Source organism: Homo sapiens, chromosome 19 (genome assembly GCF_000001405.40).
Source record: "Homo sapiens chromosome 19, GRCh38.p14 Primary Assembly".
NCBI classification, from domain to species: domain Eukaryota; kingdom Metazoa; phylum Chordata; class Mammalia; order Primates; family Hominidae; genus Homo; species Homo sapiens.
Genome location: NC_000019.10, coordinates 29,057,597 through 29,078,866, shown reverse-complemented (window position 1 = coordinate 29,078,866; position 21,270 = coordinate 29,057,597). Strand labels below are relative to the sequence as shown.

Sequence of the window (21,270 nt, the reverse complement as noted above, 5' to 3'; positions counted from 1 at the left end):
GTGATGAGAGAGAACTGTTTGCATCCTATGCACACCCGCTGATAACCAAGGATCCGGTGCATTAAAGTAACAATGGAAGAGAAAATTAACAAGGAGGATACAGAAAAGGCCCTTAACAAAGGAATAATTTGAAAATCAACAAATAAAGAGGGCCCCTGGAAAAAGGAATGAAGGATTTTTTTTGTGACAATTATCTTTTTATAGCAGTATTGAGAAAATAAAATATGAAACAAAAGATGGTGTATCTTCCTGTCATACTTACTATCAGCTTAGTGGTACCCGCAACGCAGCCACTGGTTGAAGGGTGGGGTCAGAGGAACTTTCAGAACCAGCCATACATGCTGGGATGAAATACGCTCTTCGTTAACACCCCCTTTCCTCCACGTCTTAATTTCAAGAGCCTTATAGCCCTGAGCCCTGTAGGGGGCCCCTGCTGGGCCACCCAGTAGGATTCAAACCTTGGAAAATGGGATGAGGAGGCGCAGCCAGTGACGCACATGCTACTGAAACCTGGGTGGAAATGACAGCTTCCATTTCTGGGAAGAAGCTTACTCTTCTGACTTCGGAATGCCCATGGAGGCATCTGTCAAGACAAAATCCCACAGACATCTCACTCCAGGGTGATGTGCCTGCCATGTACCCTCATACACACTCCACATCTCTGTATAAAATCTTATAGCTCCATGGTGGCTCTCCATGACCAAAACACGATGAATAGTATTTAGTGATGCTACGAGAAAGCTGCGTGTTTTACACTGACTGTATTCCTTAATGCCAATCATTTGTTATGGGACAACTCTTGTTAGCCCCATCTGTAAAAGATGAGGAAACTGAGGCTTAGAGAGGTTGACCAGCTGAGCCATAGTCACACAGTAGAACAAGGTCTGATCTCTGGTTTCTCCAACATGAAACTTCATGACCTTCTAAGTTTCTGGCAGCGCCCAACCCTAACAGCTCACACGCAAACAGCCACCTCTCCCTCCTTGCACCAAGTCGGCTCCTGGCAGGCTGTGCATGGCTTGGTACTCTTGGCCTAATGGGTCGCTGAGAGTGCACAGGTCTTCAGGAGCACACACACACAGCTACTTGGAAAAGACGACCTGTGCATGCCTGTGACTGTAAACCCATCTCCAGGAAAGTTCTGAGTATAGATTACTCAGCTTCGGCACAGGGAGAGGCAGCCCAAGGGTGGTGTGGGCAGGTGATGGTACCGGCACTGGGGCACAGGGCTGTGCCGGGTCAGGTGGAGGTGCCGGCTTGAGTGCCTCAGCAGAGCTGGCTGTACACGGTAACTCTGACTTTTCACACCTGCTTCTCCAGGAAAGGGACAGGGCCTAGCTGTTACTGACAACCCCACTGCAGAGAAACATGACCCTGTATACTCTGACAGGGTGGCACCGCTAAGGTCATCAGTGTCTCCCCCTTTTCTGCAAGCTCTGGCTGAACTCTGGCTGTAAAGAAACTCTGCACTGTATGTGTGCCCATGTGTGTGTCTTTGTGTGTGTGTCTGTATGTCTTTGTGTGTATGTCCCTCTGTGTGTCTATGTGAGTATCTTTCTGTGTGTGTCTGTACTTGTCTGTGTGTTTCTGTGTATGTCTATGTCTCTCTGTGTGTATCTGTGTGTGTTTCTCTTTGTGTGTATCTTTTTATGCCTCTGTGTATGTGTGTGTATGTGTATGTTTGTGTGTGTGTCTGTGTGTTTATGTGTGTCTCTGTGTGTGTGTCTGTGTGTGTCTGTGTTTATGTGTCTGTGTGTGTGTGTGCCTGTGTGTGTCTCTGTGCATGTCTGTGTTTGTGTGTGTGTGCGTGTCTGTGTATGTCTCTCTGTGTATGTGTCTGAGTGTGTGGTGGGGGAAAGGAGGAAGGAGCACGAGGGGCAGCTCCGTCCCCCGCCCCTCTGCAGCTCCCAATCTGATGATGCTCGAAGCAGCTCTATTATGGGTCAGTGTGGATTGACATGGAAACCTTTTTTAAAAATACTAAATGGAAGTGCAAATTGCAGAGCTGAATATACAGTCCATGTTCAATGGTGGGAAAAGTGATTCGAGTAAAACTTTATTCAAGCCCTATCCTATGCAGGTCAGTGCAGAACGCTCCCATGGTCCTACGGAGCCCCCTCACCCCATGTCTGTGTTAGGTACTCAAGCTGAATTACTGAGCTCATGTTCTCCTCATCTCCTGTCTCTCTCTCCTCCCAACTGGAACTCAGTCTCTCCCATTTTCGCCATACCTGCCAGCACAAGGCGGGGGCTGCTTGCAGTTGGCAGAGGTGGTGAAGCTCTGGCTCTGGGTGGGGCTGCCTCCACTGCAAAGGCCAGCCTGGGTCGAGGCAGGGCGGGGAGACTCTAAGAAAGCTTGGTTCTAGAGCAGGAAGCTCTGTGGGAGCAGGAGCTGGGAGACAGGAGTATGGCCATGATGAGAATCAGTCCTCAGTTTGGAAAGTGTGTTCAGGGGCCTACAGGAAGCTGGCTGCTGAGGCAGCAGGGCTCAGGTCCTGCCTGGGTCCTCGGATGCCAGCTTGCCAGGTGGGGCCTTGTCAATAGCCTCTGAAGAATCATTGACAATCCCTGTGGCCAGGCCTGGGCCCTGCTGAGCCTCAGCTCTCTTGAAGAAGGTGCAGGAAAGAAACACTGATCCAAAAGCCATTTCTAGGGCCTGAACAAGGCCAGCATATGTGACAGCCTGCTGTGAGCTCAGGCGAGGGGCTTTGGGGGAGAAGGGCACAGATTGAAGGACCCTGAAGCCTCTAGAGGGAAGGGGTCATTAGCTGGTTGCAGGGAGAGGCAGAGGAGGCCACAGGCCAGCTGCTGCCAGAGAGAAGCTGAGGACAGGCCTGTCGGTGCTAGTGGTTAGCGCTGCAGTCCAGGCACAAGCTTGCCACGGAGCTCCAGCCTCCAGCGCTTAGATGGTTTGGGTGTGTGTCCCCTCCAAATCTCTGTTGAAATGTGATTCCCAGTGTTGGAGGTGGGGCCTGGTGGGAGCTGATTGGGTCATGGGGGCGGATCCCTCATGAATGGCTTGGTGTGCTCTCTGAGGTAATGAGTTCACACAAGAGCTGGTTGTCTAAAGGTTCTCTCTCTTGCTTCCTTTCTCTCCATGTGACACTCGCCTGCTCCCTCTCCTCCTTCCACCGTGATTGTAAGTTTCCTGAGGCCTCACCAGGAGCAGATGCCAGCACCATGCTGCTTGCACGGCTGCAGAACTGTGAGCTAAATAAACCTCGTTTCTTTATATATCACCCAATCGCAGGTGTTCCTTTACAGCAATGCAAATGGACTGTCACACATGGGGATAAACCAGCCAGCAATGGACAGCCCATTGTTGCTGGGCCTAAGGCACCTCAAAGGAGTAGCAGGGGCTCAGAGCAAGGACCCTCCTCCCTCTGCTAGAGCAGCAGAGGCTGCAGCACCAAGGAGAGGAAGTTAGAGCTGGTCCCTGGAGCCTTAGGAGTTGTACAGGCAGGGAGAGGTGAGGCTCCTGGGAAAGAGGGCATTCCAGACAGATGGGGTGCAAAGGCCAGTTTGCTCTCGCAGGCTTTCTTTCAGAGAGTGAGGAGAACCTATCAGGTCAGAGCAGACAAATCAGACCTCTGGGTCCTGCCCTGGGATCGGGGCTCTCCCTCAGACCCTGAGAGCTCCTGGCTGTAAATTTCTCATTTGCAGCCCAGGTCAAGTAGGGGCAAGTTCCAGCCTTGTAGGGTGGCTGAGAGAGCACAACCTCATGCACAGTAGGTGGCCAGCATTGTCTCTTGTCATTATTTTATCCATGGCTTTCCAAAAGACAGAGGAAGAGTACTCCATGCATGCACACAAGTCCTTAAGTGTCCAGGGGGTCCGTGGAAACCTTGACATATTAGCCCCGAAGGCACGGGAGGTCGAGATTACACAGTGCTCTCAATCCACAGCTCCTTCCAGTTCCTTCGCACTCTCTCTAATTGTATCTGACTCTTATCAAGGACATGCATGTGTCTGAACACCTCTGGTCAAATAAAAGGAGGTTGTGAATGCTGCCATCCTCACCGTGTGGACAGAAAGGTTATCTGTTGATTTAACAAGGTTCAGGGAACTCTTAATTTCCATGCAGCATGAGAGGAAGGATGATGTCATAACCCAAAGCATAAGCATTAGACTCAAAGCATTGGTGCCCAGCTAGCCGAGTGAAAAGTCCAGCACTGCTAGGTTTCTGCCCATCCTAGCTGTGTGGTCTTGGACGGGTTGTTTCACCTTCCCGAGCCTCAGTTTTCCTGATGTGTAAAGTGGAACTTTAAAGAATCAAAGGTGGGCCAGGCACGGTGGCTCATGCCTGTAATCCCAGGATTTTAGGAGGCCGAGGTGGGCAGATCACCTGAGGTCAGGAGTTCGAGACTAGCCTGGCCAACATGGTGAAACCCCGTCTCTACTAAAAATACAAAAATTAGCTGGGCATGGTGGTGGGCACCTTTAATCCCGGCTACTCAGGAGTCTGATGCAGGAGAATCGCTTGAACCCAGGAGGCAGAGGTTGCAGTAGGCCGAGATTGTGCCATTGCACTCCAGCCTGGATGACAAGAGTAAAACCGTCTCAAAAAAAAAGAAAAGAAAAGAAAAAAAAATCAAAGATGATAGTATAGTATACCTTTGGAAATTACTTAGTGCACAGAATCAGTTAATTAAATGTTAGTTGCATATTTATTACGTATGTGTGTAGATACTTTCCTTACATAAGGTCATATATTTACAGTCACATATATTTGACCTTAAATTGACATAAACTTAACAACAAATGTGACCATCTTCAAGCATGCAGATTGCTTGGTGAGATTATTGCTAGATTATCGTATTTGAGGGAAGAATCGACCTTCTGAAACCTCCTCGAATTCATCCACAAATATTTCCCTGATGTTTTTGTCAAGAGGTTTTTGCATGTGTCTTAAGCCTTTTCCACTTCATTTGTAACCTGAATGTGAACACATCTGGGGAAATTTCATGCCTGGGTTCAACGGGACTTTGATGTTTAAATCTACCCTTGATGTCAAGGGTCCCCATTGCTGCCTTGGTGGGGCTGGGGACAGACTGTGGTGCCCCAGGAGGAGATACTCAGGCAGAGCACAGGCTGCCTGTCTCTCTTCATTTTGAACCATATCAAGAGCTCAGTATTCTTAAGTGCTGGCTGCGATGAGCAGCCGTTTACACGCCAGCTTGGCCATGAAGGAAGGTTTTACGAACACATGCTTTTCTGAATAAATTGAATGAGAAGTGGGTCAGACCTTGTACAACAGCCTCCCTGATGCCAAGGGGCTGTCTTTGCCAAGACAATTAGGGTTAGATATTTTATCATAGAGGAATGAGCCACTGGAGATGGTTGAGTTCATTTTCTTATCTTATAGGTCAGAAAATTGAGAACCAGAGCTGAGAAGATTTCTCAAGGTCAGAACCCTTTCTTCAACGTCCCCTGAAACACTGTGTGAGCAGCTCAGGCAGTAATTGGCTCTGTGGTTTAATTTTTGCAATTTATATAAAATGTTGCTTTATCGCCGATGGGAAAGTTTCTCCTGAGCTCTTGGAAGTGAGGAAGGTCAAATGACTATAATTAAGGGAAACCTTAAACTTTGAGTTCAACAATTCACAAGGGGGGGGAAATGGGCCAAGTGATCACCGCGGGCAAGTGGAGGTGGCACAGCCCTGTCCAGGAGACCAGCCCCCACAGAATGCTGGTGGGTCTCACCATCATGGGATTCTGGAGCAGTGTTATTCATATTCATAATGATTCCACATTTATCTGATTTGCTCTGATTTTTCTAGAGAAGATGGAAACCCAGACTTTCACATAAAACTCTAATTTTTCAGTGTTGGCAACTCAGCAAGCCAAGCCATTCATATCAGCAAACCCCCATTGGTTGCAACCTCTGGCTTGAATATGCAACAGGCTGTCAAGCAGCATGTCACTTGGATGAGCTTTAGGAGGTGAGCAGCTATCATGAAAGCCTCATGCCACTTCTGTGGTGCATGCGGCTTCCCCCAGCAGTGAGAAGATGGATAATTCCATATTCCCTCTACATCATTGTCTTATGTCATCAAAGATGACACTTTTCCCATTGATTTTGAAAGCAGAACTTTCAATCATTCTGATGAACTCAGAGCCTCAGAGTAAGACTGGAGAAGCATGCTTCACTGTCTACAATGGCAAAATATTGTGGAAAAACTTTGCCTTCAACAGTTCTTTTTTTTTTTAATTTATTTCTTTTTTGAGACAGAGTCTCACTCTGTCACCCAGGCTGGAGTACAGTACAGTGGTGCCATCATAGCTCACTGCAGCCTCCAAAATCCTAGGCTCAAGCAATCCTCCTGCCTCAGCCTCCCAAGTAGCTGGGACTATAGGTGCACGCCACCACACCCAGCTAATTAAAAAAATGATTTTTAGAGATGGGGTCTTGCTGTGTTGTCTAGGCTGGTCTTAAACTCCTAGACTCAAGCTTTACTCCTGCTGGGATTATAGGCGTGACCCACCATGCCTGGCCACTCCCTGGTCTTTGCTACAGCTCTGGTGGGGTCTGGGAAGAGTCAGGTATAGCAGGAGAAGAGGTGGCTACACAGGCAGGACACAGGCTACCCTCCCTTTGCTCTGAGTGTTGAGCTGTGTTGTGAGCTCAGTATTCTTAAGATTATTGCCCTAAAGCCTGTCTGTTTGCATCAAAACCCTGCTTTCATATTCCTTGTGCCCTGGACTCTAGTGGAAAGAGGTAATTACCAGAGAACATGCCCTTTGAAATTGAGGCCTAATTTACACACAAGTCAAGTGTACCGTCTACTCAATTTTGGCACATGCATAGCAAGACAGGACATTTACATATATCCCAGAATATGTCCTTCCACACCTTCCCAATCTATCCCTCCACCATTTGGCGTACACTGTAACTTCATATAAATGGAATCACATTGCATACACTTTTTTGTGTCTGGCTTCATTCGCTGAGTGCACTTTGAGAATTCATGTTGTATGATAAGTAGTTCATTCCTTGTCATGGCTGAAGTGATTTCCATTGTGTGAATTTATCACAGTTTATGCACTTGTTGGTGGACTTTGGAAAGTTTTCAAACATTGGATTATTGTGAATCAAGCTGCTGTGAACATTCTTATAAAAGGCTTTGTGTGAGCACATATTTTCATTTCTCTTGGATAAATACATGGAAGTATATTTGCTGGGTCATAGGGTAGATGTATGCTTAGCATCTTAAGAAATTACTGAACAGTTTTCTAAGTATTGTACTAAACACTCAACAGCGGTATAGGAGTATGTAATTATTCCACAGACTCTCTAACATTGATTTCATTTTGGTCATTCTAGTGGAATTGTAGTGGTATGGTATTTCATTGTGGTCTTTAGAACATGTTTTTGTTTTGTTTTGTTTTGTTTGAGATGGAGTCTCCCTCTGTTGCCAGACTGGAGTGCAGTGGCCCAATCTCGGCTCACTGCAACCTCCGCCTCCTAGGTTCAAGCAATTCTTTTCCCTCAGCCTCCCGAGTAGCTGGGACTACAGGCACACACCACCACGCCCAGCTAATTTTTGTATTTTTAGTAGAGACGGGGTTTAACCATGTTGGCCAGGCTGGTCTCAAACTCCTGACCTCAAGTGATCCGCTCACCTTGGCCTCCCAAAGTGCTGGGATTACAGGCGTGAGCCACTGCATCTGGCCTAGAACATGTATTTTTGAATAGATTTTAATTTTTAGGGCAGTTTTAGGTTCACAGCAACATTGAGCAGAGAGTACAGAGGTTTCTCATATACTTACGCCCTGACAGAGGCACAGCCTCCCCAACTATCAACATCCTGCACCAGAATGGGACATATGTCATAATTGCTGAAACTACATGGACCGTTTGCTGTCACCCAGGTCCATAAACTAAATGAGGGGGCCCTCTTGGTGTTGTGCATTCTGTGGGTTTGAACAAATGCGTAATGACATGGATCCACTACTGTAGAGTCACACAGAGTAGTTTTGCTGCCCTAAAATCCCCTGTGCCCTGCATGTGCTTCCCTGTAATCCTTAGTAACCACTGATCGTTTTACTGTCTGCATAACTTGCCTTGCCCAGAATGTCATAGAGCTGGGATCATACGGTATATGGTCTCTTCAGATTGGCTTCTGGGAAGTCTGATGTAACTGTTATCTTCGCTCCTCTGTAGCTAAGGTGTTCCCCACTCACCCCGGCTTCTTTTAATATTTTTCTGCATCTTTGATTTTTTGCAGTTGGACTATGATGTGCTTATATATATTTTTTTTTTATTTTTTTTTAATTTACCCTGCTGGGTGTTCTCTGAGCTCCCTGGATGTGTAGTTTTGTTTTTTGTAACATTAATTTGGGGGAAATTCTCAGCAAATATTGCTTCAAACACTTCTTTCACTCTTTCTTCTTCTGGTATTCCCATTACATGTAGGTTACACCTTTCTTAGCTGCCCCATGGTTCTTGGATATTCCGTTCTGTTTTGGGTAGATTTCTTTTCCCTTGCTTTTTCATTTTGAAAATTTCTACTGACATATCCTCAAGCTCAAAGATTCTTTCCTCAGCTGTGTCCAGTCTACTAATGAGCCCAGCAAAGACATTCTTCATTTCTGTAACTGTGTTATCGATCTCTGGCATTAAAAAAATGTTTTCTTAGAGTTTCCACCTCTCTGCTTACATCACCCTTCTGTTCTTGTGTGCTGTCTACTTCATCCATTAGATAGAGCCCTCAGTGCGTTAGTAATAATCGTTTTAAATTCCTGGTCTGATAGTACCCCAGCATCTCTGCTACATCTGAGTCTTCTTACGATGTTTGCTGTCTCTTTCAATTGTTTTTTTGCCTTTTAGTTTGCTTTATAAATTTTTCATGTGCATGTAATAGCCAGACACTGAGGTTACCAGGCCTTTAGTAATGTGGTGATAAGATATGGGGGTGCCTTCTATAGTCCTAGAATTAGCTCTCAGTCTTTTAGTGAGCTCGTGCCCCTGGACTGTGAACTTCACCAGTGCTTCTCAGTTTTGTACCTGCCCATCAGGTGAGACAGCGTGGGCAGAGTGGACTGGCATCGGGTATTCCCTGTTTCCATGTTGAAGGCTAGAGGTGGCTAAAGCTGGGTATTTCCTTTCTCTCGTGTGAAAAGCTAAGGTGGGCTGGAATTGGGCATGTTCCTTTTCCCAGGTTGGCTCTGATAAAACTCCAATGGTTTAGGCTCTGATGAAATAGTTTCTTGTGAGGCCTTATTAATAACAGAATACTCAGAAAGATTTCAAAATGGTTCCTTTTCCTTTCCCCTGCCAGAAGCCCTAGGAGATTTTTCTCTGATATTCACTGTGAGAACCTGGTTGAGCTCCTGAAGGTAAAACTCACAGAAGCGTGTCCCGTGCAACCCCTCCATGACCAGGTCCTTCTGGAGTTTTTAACTTGTCCATGTGGAGCCTCCAGCAATTTGTCAATGACATTTGAGGTTTTCCTAACCTGGCTTGGGGTCCCTCAGAGGTGTTTGCTGATGGGTTTCTGCTCTGATAAGTTGTGAGTTGCTGTATTCACCTGTCTGTCTCTCCAATTTTGAGAGCAGTGTTTGCCCTGTGACCTCACTTTTCCGAAAGATCTGAGAAGAGGGATTTTTCCGTGGGTTCAGCTTTTTGCTTGTTAGGATGGGGTGATGAATTCCAAGCTCTGCATGCTGAACCTGGCATCTGAAATAAGAGCATGCTCTCAAAAAATATTCTAAATAATTTTACTTACAAACCTTTATGCTAAGAATAATAATTCTATAAAGCTTCCTCTGGGCAAAAGTATAATCACTTAAGTAATAGTAGTTTCTTGAATTAAAATGAGAGATAATTCAAAATATTTTTTTAAGTCAATTGTTTTTTCTACTTTTCTAGATGTTCACTAGTAGGTCATTTGAACACTGAAATTCAACCCTGAAGATAATGCAGTATTATTCTTATGATGGCAGGGGAGAGGGGCAAAGTCTAGCACATGGGAAAAGAAAATGGTGATAAATTCTTGGAGGATGTTGTCCTTGTTATCAATGAAAGATGTGGCAGGCCAGAAAAATGCCTTTGTCAAGTGGGGGTGGGGGGTGTCCATGAATGCTTTCTGGAAGTGCAGAAAATCATAGAGACCTTGGCCATGAAATTCTCCAGCAAAATAAATGTAGAATTATAGGAAGAGTTTGGGGGACAAAGTCTGGGAGCAAAAGTGAGAATATGAGTAGAGAGGTGTAAAAGTATTTTCTTGAAGACAAATGGTATCCTCTGGTGAAGGACCATGTGGGAAAGACTCTGTGACATGATCTATTTGGAAAAACCATCGATGTTTGATGGATTATGATTTAGGGTCCAATGACTTTGGCTTCTTGAATATCAGCAATCAGTTCATCCAGTTTTGCTTGTTTAGTTTTCTATTTTTAAAGTTCTATTTCTGTGAAATTTATTTCACGGTGAGCCATAGAGTTGGCCTCATTGAGTTTTTTTTACTAACAGCCTCTATATTTGCTATTTATGATGGCTCTGTGTAAAGGTTGGTATCTCTTGAGGATGGTGCTAGGCCATCACGTCACTTTAAATTAATTTGGTAAGTTGAAAGCAAATTATGTATTATTATTCTTTATAGCTGTTTTTTTTTTTTTTTTGAAAAAAAGAGCATAAAGTTCTTCAAAACTAGGTAATGGTGACAACATTTTCTGCGCATGCCTTCATCTCCCAAAGAAACCCAGAGTTGTCAGAACCTGGACTCTGCTTTTGGGGGAGGCCATTACACCTTGAAGAGCTTCTCCAGGAAGATCCCAGCACCCAGCTGAGAGCCAGTCCTCAGGCCTTGAAGAAGTCCCAAGTCCACTGCAGGGAGGCCTGTGGCTGCCCTGTCCTGCTAAGCCATGATGCACACACAGAGCACAGCACAGATTTCTCCTCACAGCAAGGTGCACTTCCTCACCTTCTCTGGCACAGTCATTCCTTCCTGTAGAACAGTTTCCATCGGGTATCATTTCCCTTCAGCCTGAAGAATTTCCTTTACATTTCTTACAGTTCAGGTTTATTGGCAAGGGATTTTCTCAGCTGTTATGCAACTGTAATTACATATTTTGTTTATTTTTGAAGGACATTTTTGCTGAGCATAGAATTTTTGGTTGAAAGAGTTTATTTTTTCCTTCAGAATTTAAAGACATCTTCTGACTTCCATTATTTCTGATAAGTGAGCCACCATTTTTATCATTTTCCCCATATATCTAATGTGACTACTTTTGTGTGAATATATTTGGTTGTAAGGAGTTTAAAAATGATGAGCCTAGGTGTGATTCTCTTCCCTTTTACTTTTCTTGGGTTTTGCTGAGCTGCTTGCATCTCTTGGTTGAGGTAAGTGGCTAGATTTGCAAAAATTTAGCCATTAGTTCTTCAAACACCCTTTCTTCCCCATTCTATCTTTTATTTCCTTCTGGAATTCTACTTGCAAGTATTTTATATCATTTGCTATTTGTGGCTAGTTACAGATGCTTTATTTGGCTTTTATTTCCCTTCAATTATTTTTCTCTGTGCCTCTGTTTCGATTATTATTTTTGTATTTTTGCCTTAATTTAACAATGCTGTCTTTTGCTGTGTCTAATATACCAAGTATATACATACGTATATATTCTTACTATATCACAAATCACAGTCATATTTTATTGTCTTTTAAAATATATTGCTAGATTCAGTTTCTAAAATCATGCTAATGATATTCGTATACATGCTTATGAGAGATATTAATCTGTAGTTTTATTTTCCTGACATATTCTTTTCTACTTCTAGTATCAGGGAAATTCTGGCCGCATAAAATTAGTTAGAAAGTATTCCTTTCACTTCTATCTTCTGAAATAATTTTGTAGAATTGATACACTTTTCTTCTCAAAAATTAGGTAGAATTCACCATTGAAGCAGTGGAGCTATCAGGGCCTGCAGTATTTCTCTTGTAGAAAGGTTTTTAACTATGGATTTAATCTCAGGTTATCTATTTCTTGCTAAAATGGGCTTTAGTAGTGGTAGTAGTTTGGTAGTTGTGTCTTTTAGAAATCTGTCCAGCCTGACCAACATGGTGAAACCCCATCTCTACTAAAAAATTCAAAAATTAGCTGGGCATGGTGGCAGGTGCCTGTAATCACAGCTACTTGGGAGGCTGAGGCAGGACAATCGCTTGAACCCGGGAGGTGGAGGCAGCAGTGAGCCGGGATTGCACCACTGCACTCCAGCCCAGGTGACAGAGCAAGACTCTATCTCAAAAAAAAAAAAGAAAGAAAGAAAAAGAAAAAGAAATCTGTCCATTCAATGTGCGTTAATTAATTGGCATAAAGAGCTGGGTTCCCACCCCCAACCCCAATCTTTCCTCTCTTTTGTGAAGAATAGATCTAACTTAAGAACTTTCTGGATGGGCCTGGTGGCTCACACTTGTAATCCCAACACTTTGGGAGGCCAAGACAGGCAGATCAGCTGAGGTCCGGAGTTCGCGACCAGCCTGGCCAACATGGTGAAACCCCGTCTTTACCAAAAATACAAAAATTAGTTGGGCGTGGTGGTGGGTGCCTGTAATCCCAGCTACATGGGAGGCTGAGGCAGGAAAATCGCTTGAACCTGGGAGGCGGAGGTTGCAGTCACCCAAGATTGCACCATTGCACTCCAGCCTGGGCAACAGAGCGAGACTCCCTCTCGAACAAACAAACAAAACAAAACAAAACAAAACAAAAAAAAACCCAAAGCTTTCCCAGATCTGTAGGGCTCCAGTGAATGAGAGAGCAGAGCAGATCTCTTCCTGGTGACCTCCGAGTGCAGAAGCCTTGGAGAATATGCATAGGGAGTGCTTTGTCCTGATAATACAGAAATAGTTTTCTGAGTTTTGAGTGATTTGGTGGCAGAAGAGATGGGGATGCAGTTAGTCCACCATCACTGAAACTAATCAAACATGGTCTAGAGGGGCCCTTTTCAGGAATGCTATACTCCAGAAAGTATGCCGTCCTTTTGTGGGGAATGAGGCCTGGAGGATAAGCAATTATGCAGCCATTCTAATCTGCGGGATACCTCATATTGGGAACAGAACAGCATTGTTTAAGGGAAGCATAGCTCATGATGATGAGGAGAGTAAGTTTACAATTTTCAATACTTTTTAGTGCTGCATGCCTTAGATATCTTAGTTTTTATTCTCGGAACTGCACTATTAAGTAGATGTTATCATCCAATTTTACAGATAAAGATCCTGAGGCTCTTAAGTAAGGCATGCTACTTATTTTCTCTCCCCAGCCCTTTCCTACATTCATTCCCTCCTCAGCCTGCCTGTGCACCAGGAGATTGACCCCTGCTCCCTGCCTGTGACTGCGAGCTGGGCTCAGTCAATGGGAACCACTGTCAGGGAATTGGAGGGTGAAAGTGGAACAAGGTCAGGATATTTCTTCTCCATGTCCTCCATGTTTCTGCACCACGTCTGTAATAGGTGCTGACTCGTGCCTCTGAGTCTCACTGGGCTAAACATTCCTTCCTCCCCTCATGTTTTCACGCATAGGGGTTAATATCTCCCCATCTTGGCTTTCTCCTCTAAGAAGGTGACAATCTCTTGTTGGCTTCCTTAGCCCCTGCCACATCCCCATCGCTGTAGACAGTCACTGCGTTGCAGCCTGTGAGGGTGAACTTTCTGAGGGCAGTGAGTCTCCTGCCAGAACCCTGTCTGATATGCTAAGCTTCGCTTCCAGGATTAGTTAACTAAATCTAATTGTAGTTGAACAATTCTGTCCCTAAGGGTCAGTTTGTGTGAGCAAGCAAATCCAACGTAGGATGGAGAGAGGATCTCATTCTCTTTTATCCAGCAGTGAGATGGGTGTCAGCCCCCACGGTGCTGGAACGAGTCGTAGGTCTAGAAGAAAGAAGCAGTGGGGTTAGATTAGAAGCCTGGAGACCCTGGCTCTTATCCTACTTTGAATGGCAAATTGCTGATTAAACTTGAGCTCTGTCTTTCTATGTGTATGAAAAAGGGGTCCCTCAACCTTCCCATTTTTCTAACTTCTAGACTTTCAGTGAGTGCCCTAGTGAGAAAATGACCTTGAAAAGCGCAGAGCAGAAGTGTATAAGGTAGCTGTGTTTTCCTGGTTATCAGTGGTAGAGGCTGCAGGCTGTGGGGTTAACTATTGTTCTGTCCATTTCAGTCCTGAACTTGAATGGGATGAGAAAAATCAGGGGGACGCTTCCATCTCTCATGCCCTCGGGGCTGCCTGCTTCTCTGCCACGCTGGGTTTGGGAGGGGGAAGAATCATCCTCATGTGGCCTCACATGGCCCTAGTTTAAGGCTTGTTCAGGTCCTGCTGGGGAGAGAGGTGATTTCTGGCTTTTAAGGAGAGTAGGAATTAAATCTGCAGCAGCAATGAGCTTACCTTGGCATTTTCGTGATTTTCTGCAGCGTTAAAAATTTTTGCCAATGTTTGCATTTAATTGCTTCTGCCTTGGTGAAATTATCGAGGTTTCCAACTGTGATTTCAATGGTTCTTAGAGTAGTGGGGCATTTATAAATTGCTGCCAGAAATTAATAGCAATGGATGAGAGGGAGAAAAAAATAATCAAACAGGAACTAGTGAGTGAAGATTTAAGTGAAAGAAAGGGGAAAATATGTATGTATAGATAGATAGGTACGTATGCATGTATATATATGTATACACATTATATGTATTTTTTACTTTAATGTTTTTGCTTGATATAGCAGAAAAAAAGGTTAAAAAAATAACTGCATTTACAACAGCATTCCCTATGCCCAGCTCCTCCCCATCCCACCCCTGTCCAGTGCAGTCCTGGAAAGTAGCCCCAATACCTTTCCAGCAGCTGGTTGGGGTCTTTGTATTTTGTATTTTAATGACTGAAAAAGAGCTTGCAAATCCAAATGGCTACAACTGGAGATCAAGTGCCCCTTAGGCTTTTAGTGGGAGCCAGAAATTCAAAATTTTTATGTAAAATCTTCCATTTTAAAGGTTGGAAACAAATTTTTGTTAAAAGCACACATAGTTCAGACCCGGCCAAAAATACTTGGTTGAACTTAGGAAATTGCCACTCTGAGGGACTGTATGTTGGCTGTTTGCCATGCTTGGTCTAAGATAATTAATTTTTTTGGGGTGGGGTGTCATAATTTTAAAACTGAAGTATCACACACACACAGTAACACATGTCTGTGCATGAATACTGAGTGTCCAGCCATTGTACCTCATGTTTATGCCCACCTGTGTCTGTGTGGCCGCCGCCCAGATGAAGATGTATTCATAGAACACTTCACACCTAAAATTCCCCACTGTGGTCTTCCCCTGCCAGTACTCACTTCCCCATTGAGGAGGTCTTCAACGGAGGACACGGCATAATTAAGCGGGGGTCAGTGAGCCTCCCTGAGGGTGGGAGGGAGAAAGAGACATTGGGGGCTTCAGGGGCAATGGATGGAGACCTGTGCTGCCCTAGGTTGTTGGGGAGGGGACAGCTCGGTGACGTTCCTTGGGGAAACTTCTCAGACATTTCAGCACCCTGAGTTCTGAAAGGGCTAAGGTCCCGTGGCCAGGGTTGGTGTGGAAAGAATGGACCACAACCTTGCAGTTGACTTCGTAGACCTGAGTAGGCAGGGAGCTGAGAAAGTGACAGCCTTGGGCGCTGAAGACATTTGAGTGTGCACTATGTAGGCAACCAGCATTCCCATAGACCCCAAGGGCAGGAAGAAGCCCCTGCAGGGCACTGCGGGGTTTCTCCACAACCCACACATAACAGCTGGCAAGGGAGTGGGTAGGAGGCAGTGAATGAACCAGAGTCATTTATTTAGGGGACACAGACACGCAGGGCTTCTGTTTCCTGCACGGCCTGTAGGGAGCAAAAGCATAGGCATTACACTGATTGTGTTTGAATTTCTAATTGGCAGGGCCTATCCTGCCAGACCACGTGCCAGGCTGCATTAGCTGATGTTCTGGCCCAGCCAGGAAGGGCTTGCACAAAGGAAGCAACATTTCTGCTTCTGGTCAGCCACGGGTGAACTTGCTTCCAGATTTTATGTTTTCCCACAGGTCTTAGAGGCTTTTTTTCTCATACACAAAGCGGAGGCTTTAGCGAGGGGCACATGGCAGGGAATTCAAGCCCGTCAGTGAAGATAGACTCAGGTTTGCAACTTTTTTCTAATCCTGGAGGTAATTGGCTGCCACCCCTCTGTGGTGAGAAGAGATGCAAATGCCTTCCCCCCCGTGCAATCAGCAGGGCCTCAGAGGCTCAATTTTCACCTGTGACTTGTTGCCTTGTGTTAATGAGGCTTTTAAACTGTCTTTTGCACTTTCTCCCTCAGATGGAAGGTGGCCTTGCTTGGCAAGTGCTAATGGCTCCTTTTGTAACTCTCAGCAGTGGAGTGGAGGAAACTTCTTCTCTCCACTCCCAAGGAGCCGACTTGGAGGCTTGTCCTTCCTTTCAAGGTGACTGAGAAAGTAAGTCTTGCTAGGTCTTGGGATGCATCAACAGCTTTCTTGGCCTGGCCAGGTAGGACGGGGACCCTCTCGGCCAGCTGCCACCAGCCTCACTTGTCTCTCTCCTTGGCATCCCGTGAGCATGGTTGCTGCCTTGTTCAAATGAGAGTAGGGGGCTGAGAGCCCCTACTCCAGATCTAGCAGCCACAGACATCCTTATGCCCCAGCTTTGAAGGTGAGGCTTTGTCATTAGGCAGGTGTGGTGGAAGCAGTCTTTACAACAGAAATGGAAATTGCATTAATAATGGACAGGACTGTCGTGGAAACTCCAGGTACACATAGCTGGGCTGGGCCCTTTCTGTCTAGGATCACCATAGCCCCCTGAGGAAGAAGTGGTTTTATTTCTTTAAACAGATGAGAAAACTGAGATTAGAGGATTCTGTATTAATTATTATCATCGTTGTTGTTGTTTTTGAGATGGAGTCTTACTCTGTCACCCAGGCTGGAGTGCAGTGGTGCAGTCTTGGCTCACTGCGGCCTCCGCCTCCTGGGTTCAAGTGATTCTCCTGCTTCAGCCTCCTGAGTACCTGGGATTACAGGCACACATCACCATGCTCGGCTAATTTTTTGTATTTTCAGTAGACACGGGGTTTCAGCATGTTGGCCAGGCTGGTCTCGAGCTCCTGACCTCAGGTAGTCGGCCCACCTCAGTCTCCCAAAGTGCTGGGATTACAGGTGTGAGCCAATGTACTCAGCCTTTTATTATTATTTTTTATTTTGTAGAGACAGGGTCTTACTATGTTGCCCAGGCTGATCTTAAACTCCTGGCTTCAAGCAATCCTCCTGAGGTGGGATGAGTAATCCCACCTCAGCCTCCCAAAGAGCTGGGATTATAGGTGTGAGCCACCATGCCCGGCCAATAGAGGATTCTAAGTAACTTGTCCAATGACTCTAAGCTGGGATTCTGAATCCAGGTCTCTCAGGTCCTGAGTCTATTCCCTGATGAAACGGGAGTTTACCTGGCAAGTAACAAATGACTCTCCATGAGAAGGCAGGTGTTGATCAACAGGAGTTTTATTACTTGGCACAAGTAAGGAGGACATGGGCGTATTCCCCAAGCAGTGTGTCCCTGAGGGAAAGGGACAGCAGGGTCTTGTGGGATGATGGAGAGGGGAGAGGGCACGCCATTGCATGGAGGGGGGGTGTCCCCTGGTGCAGATGCAGTGAGTTCATGCCAGCAAATGGGTCGCGTGTCATGGTGATGAAACTGTGGCTCCTCCTGGAGTAGTCATGAGGAAAGCTCTTGGGTTCATTTATACGTTGCCCAGCTCTGTCAGGAGCTGGTTTTAACCAAGTAGGTGACCACATTTCTCACAGGGATTAAGAGAAGCAGGCTGCAGGGCAGGAAGCTGTGCACCAGGCTGATGGCTCTGTTGATTAAATTCCTGTAATCCCGGGGGACCCTCCCTGTCTGCTTACATGTCCATGTGTTTTCTGGTTCCCCAGGAGCCACAGAGGCAAACCAAGCGTGGAACACTATGATATCACACAGGTCACACTGTGTGAAGCCAGCCCTGGGTAAGGTGGACTGAGTGTAATATAAGTAGACACCAACAGACAAGAAAATGCTGGGGGCATAACCTCCTAAGGGGAGAAGTCCAAACTCATCCCCTGAGACTTTGCCATTAAGAAATGCAGGCCTTGTATGCTAAGAATTCAATCTTCAAAAGAGCCAATAGAAACTCAATGTTTTGTAGGAAGCTGCCTGTTATTTAATAGTTTGTTCATTCACCCACCTAATATCGATTCTCCTGTCTTGCTTGATAATAGAATTGCAAATTCATCAAGGCAGAAACGTGCTCACCTAAACACGGTGCTTCCCAGGCCCCCAGTGCCCTGGCCAACGGAACATGGGCAGAGGCCTGCTGGGGACACCTGAGAAAGTTTTACTTCCCGACCCAGGTAGCATTCCTCCCTTCTAGGTCCTTCTGTGTCCTTCTGTCTTCTTGTCTGAGGTGGAGTGGCCAGGGAACACCTGTAATGATGAGGTGGCCTTGAGAACAAAAGCACAAGCTAGAGACGGTGGGCTGGACAGCCCAGAAGCCTGGGGTCTGGGTAGCATCTCAGAGTCGCCATGTCAGCCCCTAGCTGCCTCCCTAGATTTCCTGGCCCACTAGAAAACAAACAAACAAACTCTATGAGGCTGAGCTGCTTGAGTTTCTCATACATGCAATGGCAATCTCTAACAAACATGGCAGCTGGTTGGAGCAGTTTTAAAATCCAAGCAGCAAACCCCAAACTCACAGCCGTGGCTGCACCAGTCCCTAGCCTGTGCAGTGACGGGCTCTGAGCAGGAGTGAAGAGTGTGCCCCTCCCTTCTCCAGTCTCCCATTCTTGCTGACCCTCTCAACAGCCAGGCTGGCCCTTCAGCATCACACTGCATTCCTGTACCTGCTGTGGGGGGACATCACCCTGGCTGCCCACAGCTAGTTTCTCTCAAGAAAGGCACACTTCTAAATCCCCTTCCCAGTTGGGCAGGGTCTCGGGATGACTTTTGGCTAATCGATGTGGGCAGGGCCTGAGCTGAAGCTTAGAAGAGTGCTGTGAGGGACCCACCCGAGTGTTTCTCCTGCTGCAGCAACTGCGGAGGCCTGGCGTTGAGATGGTGGGGTCACCAGATGAGGGCAGCCTGGATCACTGAGTCACTACATGGAGGAGGATGGCCAGAGAGTCACCTAGATTCACAGTGGACTTTGCAGGGATGAGAAATGAATGTGGTTGAAGCCATGGCATTTTAGAGTTATTTACTCTCCCAGCTCAGCCTGGTCTAATCTAATTCGCCTCCTGCTCCCATTGCAAATGTGCGCTAAGGGCAGGACTCAGGAGCTTGGGTTAGAATGTTTACTGTCAGGTTCAAAACCAGCCTGGCCAACATGGTGAAACCTTGTTTCTACTAAAAATAAAAAATTAGCCAGATGTGGTGGCACGTGCCTGTAATCCCAGCTACTCAGGAGGCTGAGGCAGGAGAATCACTTGAACCCAGGAGGCGGAGGTTGCATTGAGCCGAGATCATGCCATTGCACTCCAACCTGGGCAAAAAGAGCAAGACTCTGTCTCAAAAAAAAAAAAAAAAAAAAGAAAGAAAGAAAGAAGGAAAGAGAGAAAAAGAAAAGAAAAAGAATGTTTACTGTCAGGATGTACTCCTCAGTTGGGGGTGAGATTTGGGGCAGCATATTGAAGGGTATCTGTGGGTCTGGAGGAAGTGGCATATCTTCAGGTATCTCAAGTTATAGGTACCAGGTATGGGCTAAGGCACAAAAGCATAAGCCCTAGGTGTGGTGATCGGGGGCCTAGGGCTCCACTCGTGCCCACACAAAGCTCTGGGCCTCCAATCACTATATCATTCACCCACAATCACTGTTGAAAGTGACAAGGTCTTGCTTCAACTGGCTGAAGCTACAAAGAGAACGAACTGGCCTAGAAATCAAGAAGTTCTGGGTTTCAGGTGTGACTGAATCCAGGCGCTTAAATCACATTGTAAATCCTCCCTCCCATTTCACTCTCTCTCAACTGTTTCCTTTGGCGTTAGTGTCCCTCTGAAGCAGGTGTCCTAGACACAGTGGATCTCTGCACTCCAGCCTTCATTTGACCAGGGGTTGAGAGGCAGAGTGACTCCCCCAGGTGCCTTCCCATGGGAGTCCCGCCTGCACGGCAGCTTCCCCACCAGCCCCTGACACACATATCCAGGCTGGGGCTTGGGGTGCTCAAAGCAACCAGCACCTGCTGACCCCTGCCTGGTGGCCTCTTGATGCTTTCAAGCCTTGGGAGGTCCTTGTCTCCACTGAATATCCTCCAGGCCTCCTCATGGCTCTCCTTAACCCTGTTTCTATCCTGCCTGACCTTTCTAATAGGGTTCTGGAAAATAAAGGGAAATAGAAATGTGACAGATGACTGTGCTGTCTGATTAAGCATCTCATAGACACATGGAGGGGCTGCTGCTACCAGGTGCTGTGAAGAACTGCCCTAGGCCATTTCATTACATGCCTGAGGATAGGTTTCTCTTCTTTTCTTTTTTTTTCAGACAGGGTCTTGCTCTGCTGCCCAGGCTGGAGTGCAGTGGTGCCATCCTGGCTCACTGCAACCTCCACCTCCCGGGTTCAAGCAATTATCCTGCCTCAGCCTCCCGAGTAGCTGGGATGACAGGCTCTTGCCAACATACCTGGCTAATTTTTGTATTTTTTAGTAGAGATGGGGTTTCACCATGTTGACCAGGTTGGTCTTGAACTCCTGACCTTCTGATCCACCTGCCCCGGCCTCCCAAAGTGTTGGGATTACAGGCGTGAGCCACCGCACTTGGCTGAGGATAGGTTTCTTAAAGTGAGAGGGATTTGGTTCTTGCATTAGCTTCACGGTCGTGTTGTTTCCATGGGGCTCTCAGACATGACTTAGAGGAGGATCACTACACTGCATCTCAGGTGTGCTCGCCATCTTGTCTCCACCAGGAATGAACACTGTGTGTGTGTGTGCGTGTGTTGGCATGCGTGTGTGTCTACCCCCCCCAGGGATTTGTGCACTGTGTGTATGCATGCCAGCACTGGACTGTACCAGCCATGGCAGCAGCCACTGCTTGAACAGGTGTGATGGGTAGGGCACTCCATTACACATCAGATGGGAGCACCTAAGACTGTTTCCCCATTCCAGAGAAGACAGTGCTTGTGAGGATTCCCTAGTGGGAGCTGTCCGCAGGAATATCCAGGAGGGAAGTAGAAAGTGGGGCTGGGAAGAAAGGGAGACCCAGCAAGGATGTGGTATGAAGCCAAGTCTCACAGTGGATGACTTTGGAGACTGCATTGG

At 46.4% G+C, this 21,270-nt stretch overlaps 2 annotated features.

Moving 5' to 3' along the window:
* Positions 15,880-16,379: an enhancer, noted in NCBI's record as "NANOG-H3K27ac hESC enhancer chr19:29553395-29553894 (GRCh37/hg19 assembly coordinates)". NCBI's record gives its function as "activates a minimal SCP1, AML or CMV promoter by ChIP-STARR-seq in naive H9 embryonic stem cells {active_cell/tissue: H9 hESC(naive)}" and the evidence as "EXISTENCE:reporter gene assay evidence [ECO:0000049][PMID:30033119]".
* Positions 16,380-16,881: an enhancer, noted in NCBI's record as "NANOG-H3K27ac hESC enhancer chr19:29552893-29553394 (GRCh37/hg19 assembly coordinates)". NCBI's record gives its function as "activates a minimal SCP1, AML or CMV promoter by ChIP-STARR-seq in naive H9 embryonic stem cells {active_cell/tissue: H9 hESC(naive)}" and the evidence as "EXISTENCE:reporter gene assay evidence [ECO:0000049][PMID:30033119]".